The sequence below is a fragment of the Homo sapiens genome, chromosome 21 (genome assembly GCF_000001405.40).
Source record: "Homo sapiens chromosome 21, GRCh38.p14 Primary Assembly".
NCBI lineage: Eukaryota > Metazoa > Chordata > Mammalia > Primates > Hominidae > Homo > Homo sapiens.
Window position 1 is genome coordinate 37,051,993 of NC_000021.9, and position 24,269 is coordinate 37,076,261.

At 42.9% G+C, this 24,269-nt stretch overlaps 2 protein-coding genes across 13 annotated transcripts in view, besides 5 other annotated features; one reads left to right on the forward strand and one right to left on the reverse strand.

Moving 5' to 3' along the window:
- Positions 1 to 13,371: 13,371 nt before the first annotated feature.
- Positions 13,372 to 21,079, reverse strand: PIGP (phosphatidylinositol glycan anchor biosynthesis class P). 4 transcript variants are annotated; one of them, NM_016430.4, is made up of 6 exons: positions 21,008 to 21,079; positions 20,442 to 20,545; positions 20,153 to 20,318; positions 17,560 to 17,632; positions 15,270 to 15,388; positions 13,382 to 13,720 (listed from the first exon to the last, which is right to left on the reverse strand). In NM_016430.4, the coding sequence occupies exons 3-6, from the start codon at positions 20,154 to 20,156 to the stop codon at positions 13,590 to 13,592; spliced, it is 327 nt and encodes a 108-aa protein (NP_057514.2). In that variant the 5' UTR covers positions 20,157 to 20,318; positions 20,442 to 20,545; positions 21,008 to 21,079; the 3' UTR covers positions 13,382 to 13,589. The 4 variants fall into 4 exon arrangements, with proteins under 4 accessions (NP_710148.1, NP_057514.2, NP_710149.1 ...); NM_153682.3 differs by lacking the exon at positions 20,153 to 20,318; NM_001320480.2 differs by lacking the exon at positions 20,153 to 20,318 and having other exon boundaries at positions 20,856 to 21,079.
- Positions 20,550 to 20,829: a silencer, noted in NCBI's record as "silent region_13296". NCBI's record gives its function as "represses an Ori minimal core promoter by ATAC-STARR-seq in GM12878 lymphoblastoid cells {active_cell/tissue: GM12878}" and the evidence as "EXISTENCE:reporter gene assay evidence [ECO:0000049][PMID:35858748]".
- Positions 20,977 to 21,271: an enhancer, noted in NCBI's record as "tiled region #5899; HepG2 Activating DNase unmatched - State 1:Tss, and K562 Activating DNase unmatched - State 1:Tss". NCBI's record gives its function as "activates a minimal TATA promoter and a strong SV40 promoter by Sharpr-MPRA in HepG2 and K562 cells {active_cell/tissue: HepG2 | K562}" and the evidence as "EXISTENCE:reporter gene assay evidence [ECO:0000049][PMID:27701403]".
- Positions 20,977 to 21,389: a biological region, named in NCBI's record as "Sharpr-MPRA regulatory region 5899".
- Positions 21,070 to 21,389: a silencer, noted in NCBI's record as "silent region_13297". NCBI's record gives its function as "represses an Ori minimal core promoter by ATAC-STARR-seq in GM12878 lymphoblastoid cells {active_cell/tissue: GM12878}" and the evidence as "EXISTENCE:reporter gene assay evidence [ECO:0000049][PMID:35858748]".
- TTC3 (tetratricopeptide repeat domain 3) overlaps positions 21,262 to 24,269 on the forward strand; it is a 129,865-nt gene continuing 126,857 nt past the window's right edge. For 4 of the 9 annotated variants that reach the window (NM_001320704.2, NM_001330683.2, NM_001330682.2 and 1 more), the window contains exon 1: positions 21,262 to 21,481. Coding sequence is in view for 1 of the 9 variants with exons in the window: in NM_001320703.2 (NP_001307632.1) it covers positions 21,437 to 21,491 (55 nt within the window). In the remaining 8 variants the exon portion in view is untranslated. Of the gene's footprint in view, positions 21,492 to 24,269 lie in introns of all 9 variants that reach the window. The other 5 variants (NM_001001894.3, NM_001353937.2, NM_001330681.2 and 2 more) reach the window with 2 other exon arrangements.
- Positions 21,610 to 21,669: a silencer, noted in NCBI's record as "silent region_13298". NCBI's record gives its function as "represses an Ori minimal core promoter by ATAC-STARR-seq in GM12878 lymphoblastoid cells {active_cell/tissue: GM12878}" and the evidence as "EXISTENCE:reporter gene assay evidence [ECO:0000049][PMID:35858748]".

The window sequence follows — 24,269 nt, forward strand, 5'->3', positions numbered from 1 at the left end:
GAACTACAAAACACTGCTGAAAGAAATCACAGGCCAGGCGCGGTGGCTCACACCTGTAATCCCAGCACTTTGGGAGGCTGAGGCAGGCAGATCACCTGAGCTCAGGAGTTTGAGACTAGCTTGGCTAACACGGTGAAATCCCATTTCTACTAAAAATACAAAACATTAGCTGGGCATGATGGTGTGCGCCTATAATCCCAGCTCCTCGGGAGGCTGAGGCAGGAGAATCACTTGAACCTGGGAGGCGGATGTTGCAGTGAGCTGAGATTGTGCCACTGCACTCCAGCTTGGGCGACAAAACTAGACTCCATCTCAAAAAATAATAATAATAATAATAAAATAAAAATAAAATATCCAGAATCTACAACAAATTTAAACAAATCAGTAAGAAAAAAACAATCCTATCAAAAAGTAGGCTAAGGACACGAATAGACAATTCTCAAAAGAAGATATACAAATGGCCAACAAACATATGAAAAAATGTTCAACATCACTAATGATCAGGGAAATGCAAATTAAAACCACAATGCGATACCATTTCACTTCTGCAAGAATGGCCATGATCAAAACACCGAAAAACAGTAGATGTTGGTGTGGATGCGGTGATCAGGGAACACTTCTACACTGCTGCTGGGAAGGTAAACTAGCACAACCACTATGGAAAACAGTGTGGAGACTCCTCAAGGAACTGAAAGTGGAACTACCATTTGATCCAGCAATCCCACTGCCGGGTGTCTACCCAGAGGAAAAGAAGTCATTACATGAAAAAGATACTTGCACACGCATGTTTATAGCAGCACAATTCACAATTGCAAAGTCATAGAAACAACCCAAATGCCCATCAAAGAGTAGATAAAGAAACTATTTTATATATATATGTGTGTGTATGTGTGTACACACACACAGTGGAATACTACTCAGCCATAAAAAGGAATGCATTAACAGCATTTTCAGGCCCGACGCAGTGGCTCACACCTGTAATCCTGGCACTTTGGGAGGCCGAGGCGGGTGGGTCATGAGGTCAGGAGTTTGAGACCAGCCTGACCAACATGCTGAAACCCCGTCTCTACTAAAAATACAAAAATTAGCTGGGCGCGGTGGCAGGCGCCTGTAATCCCAGCTACTCAGGAGGCTGAGGCAGGAGAATCGCTTGAACCTGGGAGGCGGAGGTTGCAGTGAGCCGAAATTGTGCCACTGCACTCCAGCCTGGGCAACAGTGTGAGACTCTGTCAATAAATAAATAAATAAATAAAGTTAACATAAAAAAAAGAAGAAACACAGACAAAAAATAATAAATTAGGCAACTCCATAGCCATTTTTATTCTTGAAAAAGAATTACCTTGTGTGTAAAGGGAATTTTCTTTTATTTCCTTGTTTTCTTGTTTTGTTAAGAGATAGGGTCTCGTGGTGTCACCCAGGCTGGTGCCATCATAGCTCACTGCAGCCTTGAACTCCTGGGCTCAAGCAATCCTCCCACCTCAGCTTCCCAAATCACTGGGATTATAGACCTGAGCCACCCACCGTACCTGGCCTGTGAAGGGAATTTCCTAAATGAGTTTGAAAGTTTAAGTCGTGTCATACAAATAAGTGATTTCAGCCTCCTAGGCTGCCAGGAAGCTCTTAATATAAGTTTGCTAAGTAAATTCCTGTGAAACCGTAGCCTGTCAGCTATCCAAACCATACTTTGTAATTTCTCTGAACTCATTTCATTAATTCTCAAAATGATCATGGAAGATCTACTGTCATTTTCTTGAAAAATTAAAACATAAAATGCTTATTAAATAAACAATCAATACGTGATGTGGACAAGTGAACAGTCATGCTTTGTTGGTGGGAATGTAAAATTGAGGCTACCTTCCTGGCAATTTGGCAATCCATAAGAGTTTCAGAAATTTTATATCCCGTTATCCTTCTAAAACTCTTTCCTAAGGACAAATCAGAGATAAGGATAAAGATTTTTGTTCAAGAATATTTGCTGTTAGGACATTTATAAAAATGAAAATTTAGAACCATCTCAAAAGTCTAATAATAGAGACTTTGTAAAATAAATGTTAGTGCATCCACCTGATGCAATTATAATATAGCTGTTAACTGTTCACAATATCATATTATTTTTAAAATGAGGAACACAAAATTATATTTACAGTGTGATCCCAGTTTTTTTGTTAAATATACATCTATAACACACACATACGCTTATAAGGACTTATACAAGACTATTAAGAGTAATTATCTTTGGGTGATGGATTATGGGTGATTTGAATTTTTTGTTATTCTCTATAGTTTTAAAATTCTCTACAATGAATAGACATTACTTCTAAAATAAGTGATACTTATTAAAACAATAAAAATATTTAAAAATCAACCATCTGGTAACATTCCATTTTCATTACTTATGTAGACTTAAAAGACTATAATCATGAAATGACCTTAGCTAAAATTTTAGAGACTTTTAATCAAGGGTATTTCTGAAATAGTCTATCGATTCGTAGAGAGTGTAGCCGATGGGCTTCATTAGTGCCTTTTTTTTTTTTTTTTGAGACAGAGTTTCGCTCTTGTCACTGAGGCTGGAGTGCAATGGCATGATCTTGGCTCACTGCAACCTCCGCCTCCCAGGTTCAGGTGATTCTCCTGCCTCAGCCTCCCCAGTAGCTGGGACTACAGGTGCCCGCCATCACGCCCAGCTAATTTTTGTATTTTTAGTAGAGACGGGGTTTTGCCATGTTGGCCAGGCTGGTCATGAGCCATTAGTGCCTTTCAATCACTAAGTTATTTGGTTCATGACATTGTCTTGATTAACCCAACAGAAAAAAATCTGATTTAGTCCAACACACGAACTACCACTAATCTTATTGGTGACAAGAAGCTCCTGATAAGGATGAGCTGAAGAGGTGAAAATGAGGGCAAGTTTTGGGATTTAACTTCACTGAAACCATTTTCTTTGAAGGATTGGATATCTGATCTGATGTCGTTTACTTCAGATCTTTGAACAAATCATTACACAGGTATGTTTGGGAAGGAAGGAGTTAAGTCTAAAAAGAGTGCTTGATTCAGGATTTGTTTTGGAATCACTTATCTATTGGGTTGCTGACAGCAATAAACATTTTCTAAATACCTAAAGGAATGAAAGTAGAGTGTCACCCAGTGAGAAGGTGGCAGGTGAAACTTGGTTATTTCTTTATATTAGTTCGGCTGAATGTTAGAGTTAAAAAAACCCTAAAACAAAACAAAACAGATAAAAGTTGCCTTTTAAATTTGTCACACATCTGTCGCTGGTGTGTGGTCCTTTATAGTGTCCAAGATGGTCTATGGAAGATATTTATTTTGTAAAACAAAGTTCGAAAAGGCAAAGAGATCATCAACTTAGACCAAACATGCAATAACTCCTGTAAATGGATTGTCAGCAGGCATTGACATACATTGTCTATTTTGGCCAGGAAGAGGTGGAGTTATTCTCAAGGTTAAGTAAAGGTCATCTCTCTCTACCATACTGCCACTCAGCAGTGATGGAAAAGCAAAGCCTGAAGTTGGGTACTGGGAAATTTCACTTGGGAGACGGATGGCCCAGTCTGTCTGTGCACTCAGGTCATCTTGGTTAGTTTTCCCATAATTGTACTAGATCAGCAGTCAAGTGAAATGCCAGATTCATCACTGATAGAATCTCTGTCCTGGGTTGACAGTCCTTTAATTTGTGTGCCTTTGTGGCCAGAGGCCATTATTTCTAATTGCCTTTTTGTCCTGTAGCAGTTCATCTATCTTTCACACACACCAAATTTAATCTTCATGTTAGACAATGATGGGGAATTTGGGCTGAAGTTGTTATCAAATGAGTTTCATAAGCTTTAGTAACCTCAGGGAAAAAAAATCTTAAAAGACTTACCAAAATTTGAAAATAGTAAACAATGATGGCTTTCTAGTAATTTAAGGTTGTTACAGGATCTCCATACTGATAATTCAAAATATCTGGGTCAATGATTTGACTCCTTAACGTATGAAAAAAGGCTTACACTTCTCTTATTGCACCTACAATTTAATTATAACACATCTGATGATTTCTGATAGGAATGTCTGATTTTTTTTTTCTTCTTCACTCAACAACCATATATATATATGGTAGCTACCTTGAGGTAGGCACTGAGACCCAAGATGAATCAATCAAGTCCCTGTGAAGACAAATGAAACAGCCGAGTCTGCCTTTGGACCAGGTTGTGTACCACAGGGTACATTCGGAGAGAAATGGAAGCCCGTCTGGGGGTGTGGGTAGGGCCAGGGAACATGGAGGGAGCAGCAGTGAGACCATGGGATAGGCTCTGTGAATACCAGGAGTTTTACCCACTCCACCTGATTCAGCCCTGGGGATAGTGGAGAGAGGGGTCTCCATCTAACAGGTGAGGAAACAGAGCATTAGGCGGTGATATAGTTTGGCTCTGTGTCCCCACCCAAATCTCATCTTGTAGCTCCCATAATTCCCACATGTGGAAAAGACCAGTGGGAAATAATTGAATCATGGAGGCAAGTCTTTCCCATGCTGTTCTCGTGATAGTGAATGAATCTCATGAGATCTGATGGTTTTAAAAACGGGAGTTTCGCTGCACAAGCTCTCTCTGCCTGCTGCCATCCATGTAAGACCTGACTTGTTCCTCCTTGCTTTCCACCATGATTGTGAAGCTTCCCCAGCCACACGGAACTGTAAGTCCACTAAACCCCTTTTCCTATATAAAGTCTCAGGTATGTCTTTATCAGCAACATGAAAACTATTACAGGGGGTGAACACTCCCATGGCCTCACACAGCAAGAAGGAAGATGGGAGCACTTGAGACCCAGTGTCCAGATTTGTGAGTTGAGTTGGTCCAGCTGAGCTGGGGTGATGGGAAGCAGTTGGGGTCAGGAAGCTGCACAAAGGTCCCAGTCGCCCAGCCGACCAGGACAGAAAATGCTGAACTGTGAAACTATTTGGGACTTGTCTTTTTTTTTTTTTTTTTTAATGGAAAGGACTTCTCTGCACATGCGTTCACTTTCCTGCCCATGCCAGCAGCTCAGTGGCCCCATTTTTCGGGTGAATGTTGCAGGCATGGTATAAAACCCATTCCATTTCCCGCATTAACTTTGCACAAGCCACATGGTCTCTTTTCTCTCAGATCCTTCACACGGCTGTTGTGAAGAGGGGTGGAAGAGAAATTTACATTCCAACCTTCAGAGACAAGTCAGCCAAATTATGCCAAGGCCTCTGTCCCTCCATCTGTCCATCCATCCGTCCATCCATTAGAGCCAGGGCAAGTAGCATAGGGCTCTGGGTGGACGGCCCCCAAGATGTGCTTTACCTCCACCGCCACTTTCTCTGCCTGGCTTACTCATTCACTGGGCAGGTATTTATCGAGGGCCCTTCTGCATACCAGGCCTCCTGCCTCAGCCTCCTGAGTAGCTGGGATTACAGGCGTGCACCACCCTGCCCGGCTAATTTTTGTATTTTCAGTAGAGATGGGGTTTCACCATGTTGGTCAGGCTGGTCTCAAACTCCTGACCTTGTGATCTGCTCGCCTCAGCCTCCCAAAGTGCTGGGACTACAGGCATGAGCCACCGTGCCTGGCCTTAGGTAGTTCTTTATAGCAATGCGAGAACATGTCCTTAGAGGACAGAGGCCATGGGAGGTTTGATGGATACTGAAGGGGAGCACCCACAGGACCACTGAGGCAGGCAGTGGCGAGACGCAGCCACAAACCAAGGCTGTGTGATGTAGCGTAAGGCTGGACAAGGCCAGGCAGTGTCCCCTCCCACTTCCGGAGGGAGTTTGGCCCTGCTGAGGCCTTGATGGCTCTGAAGCTCATCTCAGTCTTGTGACCTCCAGGACTGCGAGATAATCCATTTCTATTGTTTAAAGCCACTTAGTTTGAGGCGATTTGTTACTGCAGCCCCAGGAAACAAATACAATGATGGACAGGAATTGGTGGAGATGAAGCAGTTTCCAGAGTGGTGAACACAGTGAGGAAAAGTGTGGGGTACAATAGCGATTACCATTACTCAAGGCCTGACTGTGGCCCAAGCACAGTTTTAAGCATTTTATATACTTCCTGTTTCCCAGTAGCCTACACAATAAGTGATGTTTTACAGATGAAGAAACCGAGCTCAGAGAGGTAATGTAACCTGCCCAAGGTACACTGGCAGGAAGTAGTGTAGCTGGGACTTGAGCTCAGTTCTAATGGATTCCCAAAGCCCATGCTCTTTTCACTTTGCTCCTTGGAGGTTGGCCACTTAAGTGCCATTTGTTTATTTATTCATTCACTGTTTGTCTATTTGAATAAAAATACTGAGTTTTTATCCACTATTTGAATAAAAATACTGAGTTTTGTTAGTATTCCAAGTTGCAAATTAAAACTACATACCATTCCTTAATTTCTTAGCAAAAGTGGGACAAGTGGTAATTACTGAGCCACTTTCTGGCATCTGGCCTACTTTTTGTTGCTCTATTCTGGGCCACCACATGCCTCGTTAAAAATGGGGAACTATTTCAAAGGAAGATGGGGAGAACAAACACAGAGATGTCAGAAGCCTCTGCCACAGGGTGTGTGCCCAAACCCAGCAGTGATGGCTGCGGGTGCTGAGACTGGGACAGGTGGACAGAGACCAATACAGTTGGTGTGCAGCACCCATGGAGGAGGGCCTTGAATAGCGGGTTGGTTGAGACACGGTCCTTTGGACACAGAGCTCCAAGCCCTGTGAGCCTTTGGCAGTTTGTGAGGGAGGGGAGGGAGGAGGTGGAACCATAAGCCTCGATAAGGCACAATGGCAGTGACAGCAAATACCATAGATTAAAAACAAGTATCCTCTTCCATTTTCTTTGATAGAATAAGCATAAGTAACCCAAAGGAGGGTCAGGAAATCCCACAATAAATGACTCTGAAATGTCTGTTAATAATGAACCGTGGAAAATCAAAGCATATTCAGTTAGACTAGGAAAAATGGAACACCATGATATTTTGTATACTCCAAATTTGAGGAACAATACATAAGGGTACATGGGTAATCCCCAGTGTTGGTGAGTTACAGGGAGTAAACTGATAGAATCCTTTTGGAGATCACTCTGGTGTTTTATATTAAGTGTCTTAGTCTGTTTTGTACTAGTATTATTTGTATTAGTCCATTCTCACACTGCTATAAAGATACTACCTGAGACTGGGTAATTTATAAACAAGAGGTTTAATTGACTCACAGTTCCACATGGCTGGGGAGGCCTCAGGAAACTTACATTCACGGCAGAAGGTGAAGGGGAAGCAAGGCGTGTCTTACATAGTGGAAGGAGAGACAGAGATAGAATGCAGGGGAAACTGCCACTTTTAAATCATCAGATCTCGTGAGGCCTCCCTCACTTTCAGGAGAACAGCTTTGGGGAAACCACTCCCATGATCCAGTCACCTCCCACCAGGTCCCTCCCTCAACACGTGGGGATTAAAATTCGAGATGAGATTTGGGTGGGGACACAGAGCTGAACCATATCAACATTCAAGCTCTTTGACCCTGTAGTAATTCCAATACAAGAAGCCTAGCCCAAGGACACAATTTCATAAAGTTTATCCACAAAAGATGTTTGTTGTACTCATTGTTTAAAATAGGGGAAAACAGGAGACAGCCCAAGTGGCTAGTGTCTGGGAGCCATCATGTTTTTGCCTCAACAATTGCAACACTTCAGTCTTTTTGGGGTAGTAGTGAGGAAGCCACTTCTGCCACTCTGTCTTCCCTATATTCTTTTTTATTTTTTGAGATGGAGTTTCACTCTTGTTGCCCAGGCTGGAGTGCAATGGAGCAATCTCGGCTCACTGCAACCTCCACCTCCCGGGTTCAAGCGATTGTCCTGCCTCAGCCTCCTGAGTAGCTGGGATTATAGGCGCCCACCTCCACGCCCGGCTAATTTTGTGTTTTTAGTAGAGACAGGGTTTCTCCATGTTGGTCAGGCTGGTCTCAAACTTCCGACCTCAGGTGATCCACCTGCCTCAGCCTCCCAAATTGCTGAGATTACAGGTGTGAGCCACCGCGCCCAACCCCCCATATTCTTTATACCCCTGGGAAGAGCTGTGACTTAGCCGATGGGTGAAAACGAGCCAAGAGTGACTGCATGGAGTTGTCTGCTATCCACCTGGCCCTGCCACCTCCTGAGCATGCAGCTGGTCAGGCCATGTCTCCAGGTCTGCAGGCCCAGTCCTCCTCACATCAGTCCCCAAGTCTAGATTTAGGGAAGAAAGCATGATTTTGGCTTCAGGCTTATGCAGCACTTGAAAATCGGGCTCCATCAGCAATAAGGTAGACACTGCATTTTAATTCTTGCCAGGTGCGTAAGTCCTTCACAGAATGGTGGTGAGGAGTGAGTGACTGAACTTTCCCCAGGATGTGCCCACCCATGGTGCATTCACTGAGAACATTCAAAAGAGGTTGCCTTAGAAACCAAAGTATCACAGGGAGAGATGGGCCTCTTGGGGCAGCAGCAGCAGCTGAAGCAGGCTGACTCACAGCTGCTTCTAATATGCTAGGCTTTGTGTAAACAGGCTTTATGACACAAGTGGGCTGACTACAGTGCAATTGGAGTGTGGCATCTGAGTCACTGTGAGGCTCTAGCTGGCTTCTTCCAGCCCTGGCCATAGGGTCCCCTGTGACTGTAACCTATACAAGCAGAGCTTGGGCATGCTGGATTTGCAGAAATAACCTTAGGCAGGTATTGAATTATTGGACATTAACTTCCCCTGCATTGTGTGAAAATATAAATCTTGGTCCACAAATGCCCTTGTTCAAGACTGTATTTTCCACAATGCCATCATTTCTCACTCTGTGAGTCCTTTGGTCCCTAATTGAGATTTCCATTGCATTTCTGACCTCTGAGACTTAAGTGGTGATGAGGCACAGAGAGGAAAAGAATATCTGGTCCTCAGTCATAGGTCCAGATAGGTAATCACTGAAACATCCACTGTGCTTGTCCATGTGGCCCTGTTCAGATTTGGTGGCTACCTCAAAGTGCAGTTCTTTGAAAACTAAACTGTTATGTTAAGCCATTGACAATTTAGGATTATTATTTATTTATTTATTTTACCATGGAATGACAAACTCTCCTGACTAGAAAAGGTGGGATAAGTACATTTCCTCCCAACCCAAAATAGTAAATAGTGCCACCATGAACCTAATTGTGTTAAACTGAGTGACTGAGACCCATGAAAACTGCCATAGCCTGACCTGCACCCCAGCACGATGAATCAAGAAGAATCTCTCTTTCCTCTTCCGTTTTCTGTCTTCCTTTCCCCATGTCCCATCAAGTCTGTTCTAGTTACTGGCTGGTGGGTCTGTACTATACAATGTACTGGGTTCCATCACTATTGCTGTAGGAGTTGATTTATTTGGATTTTCAAAGTTCCATGGGCATGGGACTGTTAATATGACATTTTCATATAGCCTACTGAATCTTTAAAAAACTGGGAGATGCAAGAAATTTTGGGTTGGGTCAATGTGCTTAAGGAATGACTCCCATTCTTATGACAGCCTAGGCAGCAGCTTCCTGAGGAAACCCAAACATCTGATTGAGATCCTTTTAACTAAAACAGGGCAGGTCAAGAAATTAGGGGGAGCAGAATTTTGGATTTAAATTATGTTGGCTTTTCATTAGGTGATTTCATACTTGGGCTTTTATTTCTCCCTGGGAGTTGAATCACTGGAGAAGGTTTTGTTAATATATGGAAATTTTTATATTATTGACACTTTCTATTTGGAGTATTTTAGGCTATTATTTGGGCTCATTGCAGAACAGTGTCTTTCAAACTTTTTTCTTAAATTAGGACATGCATTATACATCATGGCAGAAGCACAATTTTTACAAAACAAAAACATCTCACAGCCTGGGCAACACAGGGAGACCCTGTCACTACAAAAAAAAAAAAAATAAAAAGATTAGCTAGGCATAGCGGTGCATGCCTGTGGTCATAGCTACTTGGGAGGCTGAGGTGGGAGGATCGCTTGAGCCTGGGAGTTCAAGGCTGCAGTGAGCCATGATGGCACCACTGCATTCCAGCTTTGATCCTGTCTCAAAAATACCAAAAACAAAAAACATCTCAGCTGGAGTTCTGAAAGCAGAGACTGGGACAAAGGCTTGTGTGCAGGCAATTTACTGGGAAAGTGACCACAGAGAGCAGGGCCAAGTGGCAGAGGGTGCAAAACACATCAGACAGACAAGCACGTGGGCTGAGTCCACCACCATCGTGGCAACCGCAGTTCAATCCCATGAGACCTTCTGAGGAGCTCATGGAATGCAGTGCAGAACTGTCTCCTCCGGGCTGAAAGAAGGATGTGTATATCCACTGATACCTCTCCCAGGTTGGGCTCCAGGCTGGTCCTGTGGGTGTTAACCCCTCTCCTTCCAGAGTGTACTATAAGAGGCACCTATGTGGATGTGGTTAAATTTGCATGAACTGTTTGGGGCATCAGTGGCTGGAGTAAGAGGTGAACAGAGAGGCTCTGAAGTGGTTGAAACAGACGTTCAGTCAAAATATTCACCCTTACTGAGTGCAATGCACTGACATATTCTATTCTAGTTCATCACACACACACTAGTGGAGGCCCACTAACCAGTGGTTCTCAAAGTCCGGGGGTCCCAAGACCATATTTCAGGGGGCCTATGAGGTCAAAACTATTTTCCTAATACTGCTGAGATGTTTTGTCTTTTTCATCCTCGTTCTCTCATGACTATGCAGCGGAGCTTTCCAGAGGCTTCGTGACAGGCGCTAATGTCACAGACTGAATGCACAAGCAGATATGAGAAACGGCTGTGTTCCATGAAGCCAGACATTAAAGAGACTTGGAGAAATGTAAAACAATTCTACTTGTCTCACTGAATTTTTTTGTTTTAGAAAATAGTTATTTCTCATGAATATGTTTATGTTAAATTTGTCCTTTTAGAATCAGCTTAGTATTACTACAATGATTTGGGTGAAATGTTTCTGTAACAGAAATTTTGTTTCTCATTATGTGATGAGTTAATTTTATATCTAAAAGGTAACGTATTATTTATAAACAAATATTTAAAAATTTTCTATTTTAATTTTTAAATATATCTACATACACAAAAGGTCTTTGGGGCTCTCACTCTTTACAAGAATAAAGGGGTCCTAAGATCTTAAGAAAAGATAGAGAATTGCTACACTAAACTGATCATGACCCTCAAAAACACTGCTGCCCATAGTTTGCAAAACATTGGTGTTCCTTTCATGACCTGTAAGGACAGAGTGGTTGGAAACCAGAATGAAAAGTTAATTTGAGGCTTAATGTGCAATAGAACACTAGAGTCCATGAAGGTTCTATCCTGACCTATTTCAAACCCGTCTCAGGCCCATCACCTGTCCGAGGGGAAGACAAGGGAATACTGCTGACATGAGCAAGAGTCTCACAGATGGGAGGGAACCGCTCGGATAACTGCTGGCTTTCTCTTCCAAAGCTTACAGCTACTGCCCTGCTTGACCAAAACTCAGTTAAGTCTAATCATGTAAGGGAGTCCAATCATGTAAGGGAGTCCAATCATGTAAGGGAGTCCAATCATGTAAGGGAGTCCAATCATGTAAGGGAGTCATTCTCGACCCTGGCTGCATATTGGAAGCATCTGGAAGATGTTAAAAAATTACCCCTGCCTGTGCTCTACTCCAGACCAATGAATCAACATTTTCTGGAGGTAGGCATAGGCACTGTTTTTTTTTCCCCTTTTTATTGAGGTGTAACTTGCATCAGAAGCAGAAATCTTAATAACTTAATGATTTTTTAAAAACATGTATTACCTCCATGTAACCATAACCACCACCCAGATCAAGATGTAGGGCATTTTCAATTCACCAGCAGGCTCCTTCATGCCTCCTCCTAGATAATACTCTTCTCCAAAGGTAACCATTATTCTAATATTTGCCACCATAGATTAGTTTTTCCTGATTTTGAACTTCAAATAAAGGGAACCACGCAGTAGTTTACTCTTTTGTGTCTGGCTTTTTTTGCCCAATGTTATGGCCATATTAATTCATATTATTAGGTAGAGAAGTAATGCATTCTTGTTTGCATGGCTGTGTAGTGTTCAATTGTAGAAACAGACCATGATTTATTTATCATTCTATACTTGGTGGAGTTCGCTGGTTCCCTTACACTGCTTTTTTTTGTTTCTTTTTTTTTTGAGACGGTTGCCAAGGTAACCGTCTCGCTCTGTTGCTAAGGCTGGAGTGCAGTGGCATGATCTCGGCTCACTGCAATCTCTGCCTCCCAGGCTCAAGCAATTCTCCTGCCTCAGCCTCCCGAGTAGCTGGGATTACAGACGCCTGCCACCACGCCTGACTAATTTTTGTATTTTTAGTAGATATGAGGTTTTGCCATGTTGGCCAGGCTGGTCTCCAACTCCTGACCTCAGGTGATCCAGCTGCCTCAACCTCCCAAAGTGCTGGGATTACAGGCATGAACCACCACATCCAGTCCCCTTATACTGCTCTTAAGTGTGGTGACATGCTCTCACCATAAAATAACAGGAACTGGGACAAACTAGGGAACAGGAAAAGCAGATTCATGTTATCCATCTCATGCTTACTGGGTAAGGATATGGTTATTGTCCCCTTCCCAGCTCCTCCTCTGAATCTATTCTTCATTCACCAATCAGGATGACTTTTAAAAACAGAAATCAGGCCATGTCATTCCTTTCCTTCAAGACTCCCAACAGCTTGATCCTAAAGTGCCTCAAACTCATCACACTTACACTTAAATCCACACTTCCTACACCAGCCTACAAAGCCCTTCACAATCTGGGCCCGGTCTCTCCAGGCTCACCTGGGACCACATTCTCTCTTGTTTGGTATGCTCTATGCCCAATGCCAGTCTTCTCTCTGTTCTTAGGACAAACCAAGTTCCTTCCCACCTTATGGTCTTTGCCTCACCTGCTTTATACTTAGATCCCAACAGCCTCTCTCTGAGAGGCCTTCCTTGACCACCCAATGTGAACTAGTCATCCCTTTGCATTCTAGAATACATTATCTTAATTCTTTGCATAGCACTCATCAAATTATATTTCCTTGTTTATTTGCTTAGTTGCCTCACCCTGCTTCTAAAACTATAAGCTCTTTGAGAGAGAATCTTACCATTACTTCATCCTCAGTGCCTAGAAAAATACCTGGTACACAGTGAGTACTCAACAAATATTTGTGTCTTAGACATGAATCTGATGGCACAAGTACTAACTGTACCCTTCCCAAAAACTAAGGGTTTGAATTCTGGGCCCCTCAGGACAAACAGGAGGAAGGACATCATTGCCCTTTGCAAATTACAATATAAATGCCTCTCTGGAGGAACTTCTTGATTATACTGACATTGATTTTTTTTTTTAAGTCTGCTATATGGGAATGCAATATTGTATTTATTCTATTCATTAACAATACTTGAACATTTACAATATTCATTGAACATAATCTAAGAGAAGGTCAACTTACATTTTTTACTTCTCTATTAATAAGAGAGATGGTCAAATTAATTTATGGTCAAAATTATAATGGCAAAAACTTATAAATAAATACGTGCTTGGTGTTACTATGGTTACACACAGTTCAGTTTTTGGTGTAAAGTTCTTTGGCTGCAAGAAAGAACATTTGGTTTACTTCACTAATAGAAATATCTCTTAAGGCTGGAATGGCCTCCTCTTGGTATTTCTTCTGCTGTTGATTTTTTGCATAGTTATCTGTAAGAAAAGACCAAAAAGCTCTGTTTACCTAAGCAATTTCTTCTACAGTCTCTGTGTCTGATGGAGACCCACCACATAGTTTACTAGGCTGACGTTTGGATAGTGACAAACATCATGTTTAACATAATTAGATGATTACTTAAATCCTCTCTTTAGAAGAAATGTCCCAATTAAAATAAAAACATCCCTGTCTCTACTAAAAACACAAACACACAAAATTAGCCTGGTGAGGTGGCGGGCGCCTGTAGTCCCACCTACTCGGGAGGCTGAGGCAGGAGAACAGCGTGAACCCAGGGGGCGGAGCCTGCAGTGAGCCGAGATTGCGCCATTGCACTCCAGCCTGGGTGACAGAGCGAGACTCCATCTCAAAAATAAAAAATAAAAAATAAATAAATAAATAAATAAAAATAAAAAAATAAAAACATCAGTAAAGTACTTTTTTCATCTCTAACTTGGAAAGAAATCAATATTTTAATCAACCATACAATGATGATTAAAGTCTCATTTGCACATTTCTCACGGGAACAGAATTATATCCAGGCCTTGAAAATGTATTTAAATCAACATGGCAAAACTATTAAATCATTTGGTATAAATATTCATGCAATCTTAACAATTTCCCCTCTTTGCACAAATTACCTATTTGCTGCCAATTCCAATCAAGAATGCATGGAATGCAGTGTATTAGAAAGACACTTAAAAATAATAGAATTGATTTTCAAAATACATTGTAGAGGCTAATATATAAAGGTTTTGAAAAGTTGAAAAATCATACCAGGGAACTTAAAAAATACTTTACTTTCTAGAATTTAAGCAAGCTCAGGAGTCTGATTTATTTTCATCTTTAGACTTGAAAGAACTTTAAAAAAATAAAACCAGACGAACGTGTTGTGGCTCTTTTATCCACTTAATTGGAATAAGGAGTACACAATGATCCTGAGGAGGATACACACCCCCAAAGTCCTTTTTCTGAACAAGGTCTGCATGTACTATTTACTATCCCTTGATCAACGGTGTCTGTTCAGGATAAGCTTCTCTCAGGCAAAGTTAATGGGAACATATTATAGACACATATAGCATATACTTGTGGTTTTTATGGGAACATACACCTGCTAACCAGTGCTATAATTAATTATAATTTATTTCCTCCATGAATATAGCTAGTGTGTATTCATCAGAACTTAATTCCTTCATGCAAATATTTCCTTTTATATAAGTTTGTATTTATTTCTCTTAGTAGCTTCTTTTTACTGTCCGTGTGTGTGTGTGTGTGTGTGTGTGTGTGTGTGTGTGTGTGTGTTTTCTTTTAGGATGGAGTTTCACTCTTGTCACCCAAGCTGGAGTACAGTGGTGGGATCTTGGCTCACTGCAACCTCTGCCTCCTGGGTTCAAGTGATTCTCCTGCCTCAGCCTCCCAAGTAGCTGGGATTACAGACGCGCACCACCAACATGGGTTTTGCAGCCTGTTCTTTGTTGCTTTTCTGGGTAAAAGTGCTAATACTCCACTCTTTCATTGCCCCAGCACTTTCCTTTTATATAAAGTTACCTGTGATTGTATGGATGGAGTCGAGTGGAGAGGTACTCATCATGTTAATCCCAAACAAGAGCACGTAGCCAATTACTATAGCAATAAGGAGGTAGACAGGTAATGCAACTGCCCAATATCTGCCAAAGAGAATATTAAAGTACATAATAGACACTTTAAAAAAGTTGTAATTCTCAAGAGTCGGTCACAAAGCCAACATGTTTTTTAAATTTAAATTTTATAAAGTAATATGTGTACATAAGAGACAAATAGTTCCACAAGGCTTACAGTGAAAAACTGCAGTCCTCTATCCCACCATCCCAACCCTGGGGTCTCACTCTCCAAAAAGAAATGCTTTGAGCACTTGAGCTGTCTTCTGGTACTTACCTCCTCATTGCTACAAAACATGCTCATATTACTATTTCCTCATTTTTTTCCATTACAGACATTTTCTCTAGGCTTCCTAATATGGAGATAAGGAATTAACCTCCTCCTATCCTCTTCTATACTTACATTGCAATTTCTCATTATAGCAGCAGGTTTTAGAAATAATTGTACCTACATAAACAATTTTGCAACTGAGGATCTTAGTACATTATTATTATATATTTTCTTGTACAACTTTTTTTTTTCTGGAATAATTACATCTTTTTGTCTGTTCACTTGGTTTCCCAGGAATCCACCAATACCAGAGCCTCAAATTCTCTGATAGGACTCTATTATGCCTCTCAGTATCATTATGTACATGGAGTGCTATTTTTCATTGAGTGTTTTTTTTTTCTTTTTGAGAAAGCATTTCCCTCTGTCACCCAGGCTGGAGTGCAACGGCATGATCACAGATCACTAGCCTCAATCTGCTGAGCTCACTTCAGCCCTGCAAGTAGCTGGGACTATAGGCACACACCACCACACCTGGCTAATTTTTAATTTTTTTGTAGAAATGGGGTCTTGAGATGTTGGCCAGATGTTTTTTTTTTTTTAAATGATTTGTTCTCTATTATTTTCTCTTTCTGGAACTTCTAATAGTTTGAATTTTTAACGATTATACTTTCTTATATTTTCATTTTTTTTTGTTCTAACTTCTAGAGATTACCTTTGTTTTATTTTCCAGTCTTTCAATTAAAATTTTAATTTTGGTTATCATGTTTACAATTTCCAAATACAGTAATTTCCTGTTTGCATAGCATTCTGTTCTTGTTTCATAGTTATAATTGTTTCTTACCTCTGAGAATTTTATGTTATTTAAATTTTTTTTTCTGTTTCCTGCATTATCTCTATTTCCTTCAAATTCCCTTTAATTTTCTGCTTTTTCATTTCATGCTAGAGGCTTTCTTTTAATGTCTGGTAACTTAGAGTAGTCCATTCATATTTAAAAATGAAGTGCTAACAAGTGAGTTGGAAGCACTATGTGTATGTGGGCAGGGATGGTCAACTGGTGAGCCTCACTCTGAGAGACTTGGCCACTTCACTGGGGTCCTCTAAATGTCAGAAATTATAGATCCTTTCTCTCGGGCTGGTCAGCTTCCTCAGGAAAGAACTATCTATCTTTTTCTGTGAGCAGTAGGGTGATATAAGCCTCGAAGCCCCAAGAGGGAAGATGGAGCAGGAGGTAAATCTTCTCATTAAGCCATGTAGATTTTCACTTACTTCCCTGTTTTCAGTAAGATGCCGCATTCCCACACTCAGACTTAGTGGCCCCCATGCTAGAGACTCTTACTTAACCTTGCCAGAGAGTAAAACTCCTGTTTTCTGCAGGGGAGGGCAGGGCAGGCCTCCCAGCTTTGAGGGCTGAGGGAGATTTGAAGGCTGAAGACTTCATATGGTCTTTAAACATGTTTTCAGTTCAACCCAGAATTAAAGAGCTACCTGGTACCCCAATGTCTGAGCTATTCTGGAGTTCTAAGGCACAAATATTCTTGCTGGCTTCCCTACTTCAGCAACGTGAAAATCACAGAAACAAAGGCAGTTACCTCTCACCTATCACAATCCACTTTCCAAAATGTGGTTGATATCTCTTTTCTGCTATACTATTGTTTCTGTGGTTTGTATCTTCAGTTTTTTTTTTTTTTCCTGTAGGGTCATTTTAACAAGATTTTTGGAGGAAATGGATGGAGATAAACATGTGTGTTCATGCTACCATCTTTAATTAGAGATGTATCAATAGCGATCTTTAAAAAGCTTTCAATTTCTATATGGCTATTCATGAATTTTAAGAGAACAAATATTTAAGATTTGGGTAGGTTTAAGAAATGATATGACTCCTCAAAACAGCATTAATTATATCCTCATTTAAGAAATATATTAAACTTACTTTTGAGGCCAATAGGTTAAACCTAAAGAGTTTAGCCAAGATTCAGGAATAAAGGCCCACACGAGGTAAAGTACTGTAGAAAAGAAAAAGAAAAAAAAGAGGAAGAGAAGTCAGTAAGACATACATCTAATCTATCAATCTATTAAGATTCAGATAAAACAGAAAAGCTCTTTTGAAGTGTCCCTGATTAACTCAGAAATGATTTTTTCCTCCTTTCAGTTCTTCTAGCTCGTTTGCACAATTCTTATAATACTTATAATTACTGTATTAGTCTTTTTTTTTAATATCTTAACTCACATTATATTTTAAGCAATTCAAGGATACAAATCATGGCTTAGCAATTGTTGTAATCCTTATTACCTAGCAGTTTGCTTTAGGTACAGTAAGTGTTCAATACTTCATCCCCACAAGGTTGAAGTAATTATAGACATTTAATTGCTCAAAGGGAAATTTACCTACCCTAGTTCTCATCCACCACATACTGAGCTTCTGCCCTATCTCCCAGAGTACAATGTTATTTCCCTCAATCCGAAATCTCGGCACTCTTTACTGTTATCCCACGATAACAACAATGGCTAAGTTCTGAGCACTCACTGTGGGTTAAGCACAGTTCCAAGCATTCTGTATGCATTAAGATAATCCTCCAAGACAATCCTCCAAGGCAAGTATGCAATTTTAAATGATGAGGAAATGGAAGCTTAGAAAGGATACATCACCTACCCAAGGTAAGCGGCAAAGATAAATTTTAACTACCTACTACATCAGTGATGATGCATTCTTTTCTTAACAAATATGTATTACAGAATTCTGTATGTCAGGTGTGTGAGACACAATATTGAATCCAAAAGAGATGGCTTCTGCCCTCCCTAAACTTAAAATCTAGTGGTGAATAGAGAAAATTGGTATTTTCACTACATTGTTACAAGTGCTCACGAATGAGTAATAAAAGATGACATAGAAGCACATTAGAAGGCCCTCCTTCCACTTCGTATCCTCCTTCCCTTTGCTTAATTTCTCCCCATAGTACGTTATCACCTGATACTATATACGTTTTTCTTATTTAACTTGCCCATTGACTATCTCCCCCCGGCATGAGAATGAAGACTCAAAGCAGGGCATTTTTGGCTGTTTTGGTCCTTCCTGGCCTGTAACAGTGCCTGGCACATGGTAAGCACCAATAAATACTTGAATTACTTTTTGGTTGTGGGTATGATGGAATTTAATTTTGTTTTGAGACAGTTTCGCTCGTTGCCCAGGCTGGAGTGCAAAAGTGCAATCTCAGCTCACGGCAACCTCCGCCTCCCGGGTTCAAGCGATTCTCCTGCCTCAGCCTCCCGAGTAGCTGGAGTTACAGGCATGCGCCACCATCCCGGCTAATTTTGTATTTTTAGTAGAGACAGGGTTTTTCCATGTTGGTCTGGCTGGTCTCAAACTCCCGACCTCAGATGATCTGCCTGCCTCGGCCACCCAAAGTGCCGGGATTACAGGCGTGAGCCACCAGGCCGGCCAGAATTTAAGCCTTAAAGTGATTGCTTTTATTTATTCATATAGCTTCTAATCCTTGACATACTCTTTGAACAAGGATTTACAAAAGTGCTAACAATAACATCAGTAGCTAACACTTATTAAGTCCCTAACTGTTCCTAGGCATTATTTTACGTGCTTTACATAAATTACCCCCGTTAATCCTCACAACAGTCAGAAGAGGCAGCAGAGTGAAGTCAGCCAGTGTATTTGGGTTCAAATTTAGAAGGCTTTTATTTAGTAGCTTTGCAATCTTGAGCAAGTTACTGAAACCACAGGATGCTCATCTTTAAAGGACAGTAATAACAGAACCTACCCCATAGAACTGTTTCATGCGTCATAAGCATTTAATAACCATCATTATCACTACCCTTTTACAGATAAGGAACCTGAGGCTCAAAAAATTTGCTGAGGGTCCCAGCTCACATGGCTAATCTGTGGAGGAGTCAGAATTCGAACTCAGTTGTAACTTCTTCACTTCACTTCAGTTTTAATAGCCTGGCCATTACATTCATCTGCAAGCTGTGCTGATGGTGCAGGCTGATATATTTTAGTTAGGGTTCAGAAGTACTACCACTCCTCCACTTTCCTGGTTTCCAAACAGTTGCAGAACGTTGGATCACGGGCACTCAATTTTCTCCCTTTTGTGTGCCTCAAAATTCTCAAATCATTTTGGGGAGAGACTTGGGACTTGCTGTGTGAGTGGGCATATTAGTGTCTTAGTGAGCATCAGTCTCCTTATCTGTAAAATGGAATGTTATGGGGTTAAATTAAGGGAGATCCAGGACGCAAACGACACACCTTTCAACCCGACTTCTCTGGCCTACTTCTCCTGTTCCCCAGATCCCGCAGGGCACACTGGTGACATCACAAGCTCCTCGGGTCCAAACCCTCTCACGCCCTCATTCAAGGCCTTTCCACTTCTTCCCTCCCTCTTACTCTTTCCTAATCAGCATCAGTGCCAGGGGGAAAGGCCTCTGTAGAAAGCCTTGACTTTCCAGTCTGGTTTCAATGTCTCTCCACCGTGCTCCCTGACACTCATCACACTGAGCATTAACTGTAGATTTACCCATCTGTCTCCTCCACAAGACCACGACCTCCTTAAGGGCAGGGACCAGGCTTTATCCACTTTGCCATCGCGTCTGGTGCTGTATAAATATTTGTAGAGACTAAAACCTCCTAGGCTAGTGCTGGCACACGGAACACTCAGCAAACACGAGATCCCTTCAGATTTTCTTAAAAAGAGACATAGGGAGAAAGAATCAACAGTTCATGTGTGCACAGTCTAACCAATGTATTCTTCCCTTGTCACTGAACGCCAGAAAAAGCCCCTGGCCATCCATCAGGAAAGTACTTACTGAAGCCAAATTGGGAGCTTAAGAAAAGAACAAAGCCATAAATCGCTCTTTCTGGCAATGGCGACGGTGAATTTTCCACCATTTTTCCTGGGGCTTTAGACAATCTGTGGAAAAGGAACACAATCAGCGTCAGCGATGTGCTCCGTGGCACCATTGATCCATTCTCGCCTCCTCGCTCCGCCGCGGGTACGGCCCCCGCCGCGCAGAACCGCCTCCCGCGCCTCCGTCCGCAACCCGCGCCCCCGCCTCGAGCGCATACAGACACCCAGGCTGGCGCGCGCCCCGCAACAGAAGGGGTGGCGGAGGATAGGGCAGGGAGGGGGGTTCTGGGGCGATAGACGCGCGCTCCAGCTCTGCAAGCGTGGCCTCCCTGTGGGAGGGGAGGGCAGGGAACAAGGCTCGCGCGGCGCCCACCAGCATGCGGGCCTACTAGGTCGCGGCGCCCAGGCCCCGGGCCCTGCCCATTCGTGGAGACTTCTATTTCTCATTCGAGGCGGGGTATGGGGGGGCCCTCGACCTCGGGTCCTTCATACGCCCACCCAGGCCCCTCCCGACACCTCGGCCACCTCAGCGCTGAGTTCTCCGCGCAAGCGCCGACTGGGGAGCCGCAGTGGGGAAGAGGAAAACCTGAGGGAAAGGCCTAGGCGCGACGGCAACCCCCACCCTGGCGCAGGCGCACAACGACCCTCCCCGGGTGGGAGCCAGCGAGCGCGGGGGCGGGCGTGATCCCGCGGCTCGCGACGGCGAAGGAGGGGGCGGTGGGGTGCGACTGCGCACGCGCGCTGCCAGCCCACGTGACGCACCTCGCTTCAACGCCGCCACCCGCTCCCTCCCGCCGTCGGCTGACGTGGAGGGCCGGAGGTGGCGGCGGCGGCGGCGGCGGCTGCTGCTGCTGCTGCCCGCGTCCGAGGCTCGCGGGCGGCGGGCCCGGGTGAGTGCACACCCGGCGCGCTGCCGGGCTCCCGGATGTGTCACCTTGTCCCGCTGCAGCCGAGATGCCGGGGGAGCGGGGCCTTCCACACCCCCTCCGTGGGTGTGTGGTGAGTGTGGGTGTGTGCGCGTCTCCTCGCGTCCCTCGCTGAGGTGCCTACTGTGTCTGCATGGGTTGGGTCCCGCGCGATGAGGGGGTGTGGCCGCCATTGCCTACCCCAGTGGGTTTGCCCCCTTGGTCTGGTGCCCCTTCGCGAGCGAGGCCCTGGGATGCCGGTGCGAGGGTGTGAGTAGTCCCTTTGTGCGCAACCCCCCGCTGCCCGTGCCTCGGCCGGTGCGTGGCTGACACCTCCGCTGGGTGGAGGCGCTCGCGTGTCGCCTCGTCGCCCCTTTTGTGTCGGTGTCCGCGCTCCCTGGCGGCTGCGTGGGCGCTCTCGGCCTTGCAGGTGGCCCCCCTTTGTGTTACTGCCCCTGTCTGTGGGCTGCGCGTCCCCTAGCGCGCGTGGCCGCGCCTTCTGCAATTGCGACCCCCGCCTAGAGCCTTGCTCGCGCAAGTGTGCGTCCTTGCGTGTCTCCGAGTGACGCAGAGTGTCTGCGCATGGGTCCTGTTGAGTGCGTGATCTCTTGTGTGCGGATTTAATTCTGTCGAGTGGGTATCTCTTGTGTGCAGGTTTCGTTGGTGAGCGTGAACGTTCGTGCACACCCCTTGCTGTGTGTGCGTGTCACGACTCTGTTGCCACCTGTTTTCGTGTGAACTGGCAGTCCAGTCCAGGGCCTGTCCCCACGGAACGGACCCAGGAGGGGGGTAACCTCGCCGCTCCCCTCGCCCCCGCGCCTCTTTCTGAGCATTCTCTCCCACAGACGCTAATGGGAAGGGGGGTGGACAGGATCGAGTCTGGCCAGCTGCTCCGCAGTGTTGACGCTGCCAGTGTGGCCTCTTCAGCCAGCCTGTTCAGGAGACAGAATAGGGGGATCAAAGATAAAAAATGAAGCCGAGACGTAGGTGAATTTGGGCTGGTACCAGTGCGCCGTGCCTTTTCCAGTGGCGCCCTGGACGCCAAAACCCCCTCAGTTGCAGAGACCTTTCAAAATATATGCACTCTCCTACTGGGCGATGCGGTCCTTAGGCGTTCTTGATGATATTTAATGGTTTATAGAGTATTTTATGGCATTCACCTAAATCTCTTTCCATTTTGCCCAAGATCCTGGCGAGGGAAACAAGGTAGAAATTTTACAGATTTTACTCCTCCGGAGAGAGCCTTTTCCTTATAACTACGACTCTAGTTAGGACATTTTTTGTTGCAAGAAATTTGCGATTTATCCTAAGGAAAATGGGATATAGTATAAGGATACCTAGGGTAAGAAACTTCAAACCCCTTAGAGACCCAGCTACTGCTCCGATTGCTCAAGGTTTCGTGCTCTGCGCTCAAGGGCTGCGTTTTGGTGTCTTTGTTCTGCCCAATTTTCTTATTGTCTAATTTTCCTTTTTTTCTTTTAATTTTTGGAATATTTCAGATATCAAATACAGAGGGGGAGCTAACCAATCCATGATTCAGATTTTACAGACGTGATTATTTAATCTTTTGCCAAATTTACTTCAGATACTCTTTTTTTTTAAAGAAATAAAATTGCTCTCAGTTCCTTCCCCTCCTTTTCTAGAGATAGCCACTGCGTTGAGGTTTGTGTATATCTTTACTTTGCATATTTTATACTTTGATCAAGGTGAATCCATACACAATATATATTATTGTTTGTTTTTAAACTTTAATGGCATTAAAATATACATGCCTTTTTGCAACTTGCTTTTTTTTTTTTTGCTCAGCATCATATTTTGAGGTTTATATATGAACAAATTGAATGATTGTGTTATCTTTGGTTCATTCATTTTAATTGCTGGTATAGAATTGCGTTGTATGAATATACCATATTTATTTATACATTCCCCTGTTGATAGACTTTGAACTTGTTTCAGTTTTTGACTCTTAAAAACAGTCCTGCAATAAATATCTTTGTACTTGTCTGCTTGTGCACACATTTGGAAGTTTCTGTAGGAAGTACACCTAAGTAGTAGATTTGCCGGATTGTAGGCTATGTGCGTCTTCAATTTAACCAAGTATCACAGAAGCTCTCGAAGTGGTTGTACCAATTTTCACTGTCACTGGTGTTGAGTGAGAACACAATTTCCTCACAACCCTGCTAACACTTTATGTTATGAGACTTTACATTTTTGCCATCTCTTTACTGACCAGCTTCCTTATGACTTTTGGTTGCTGCTAAATTTGCTTGTAGCCACCTTGGCTTCTCTTGTAGCCCTGTGTCAGCCTATGGATTTATCTCTTATAGCTAATTGGCTTAGTCTTTATCTCCTTTGGTTCTCATAAGATTAATTCCAATGAACATTTGTTGTATACCTAATGTATGTCAGATCCTATGATTGATGTATAGATAGAATTTCCATGATATGTTAAATATGTACCTCTTTAGTGGCAGGTGAGGTGATTTAATTAAAAGTATTTTTTTTCTTATGATGAATGTTTAAAAAATTTTTCTTTTCCTCTCCATTTTATTGTAGTATTTGATAAATTCAAAATATATGTAAAACATATGCAAGCTGTATAGCAGAACAATAAAATGAACACCTATGAATTCACCACTCAATCCAATAATCAAAATGACCAGTATTGAATGTGCTTACTTCCAGAGGTGACTACCATCCTGAATTGTGTATATTATGCCTTGTTTTTAAAAATAATTTTATCAGATATGTATACATCCCTCAAAAATGTATTGTATGGTTTCTGTTGTTTTTGAGTGGAAAAAATCATATTGGGTATAGTTTCCTGGGACTTGCTTATTTCACTTGATGTTATGTTTCTGAGTTACTAATATTGGGTATAG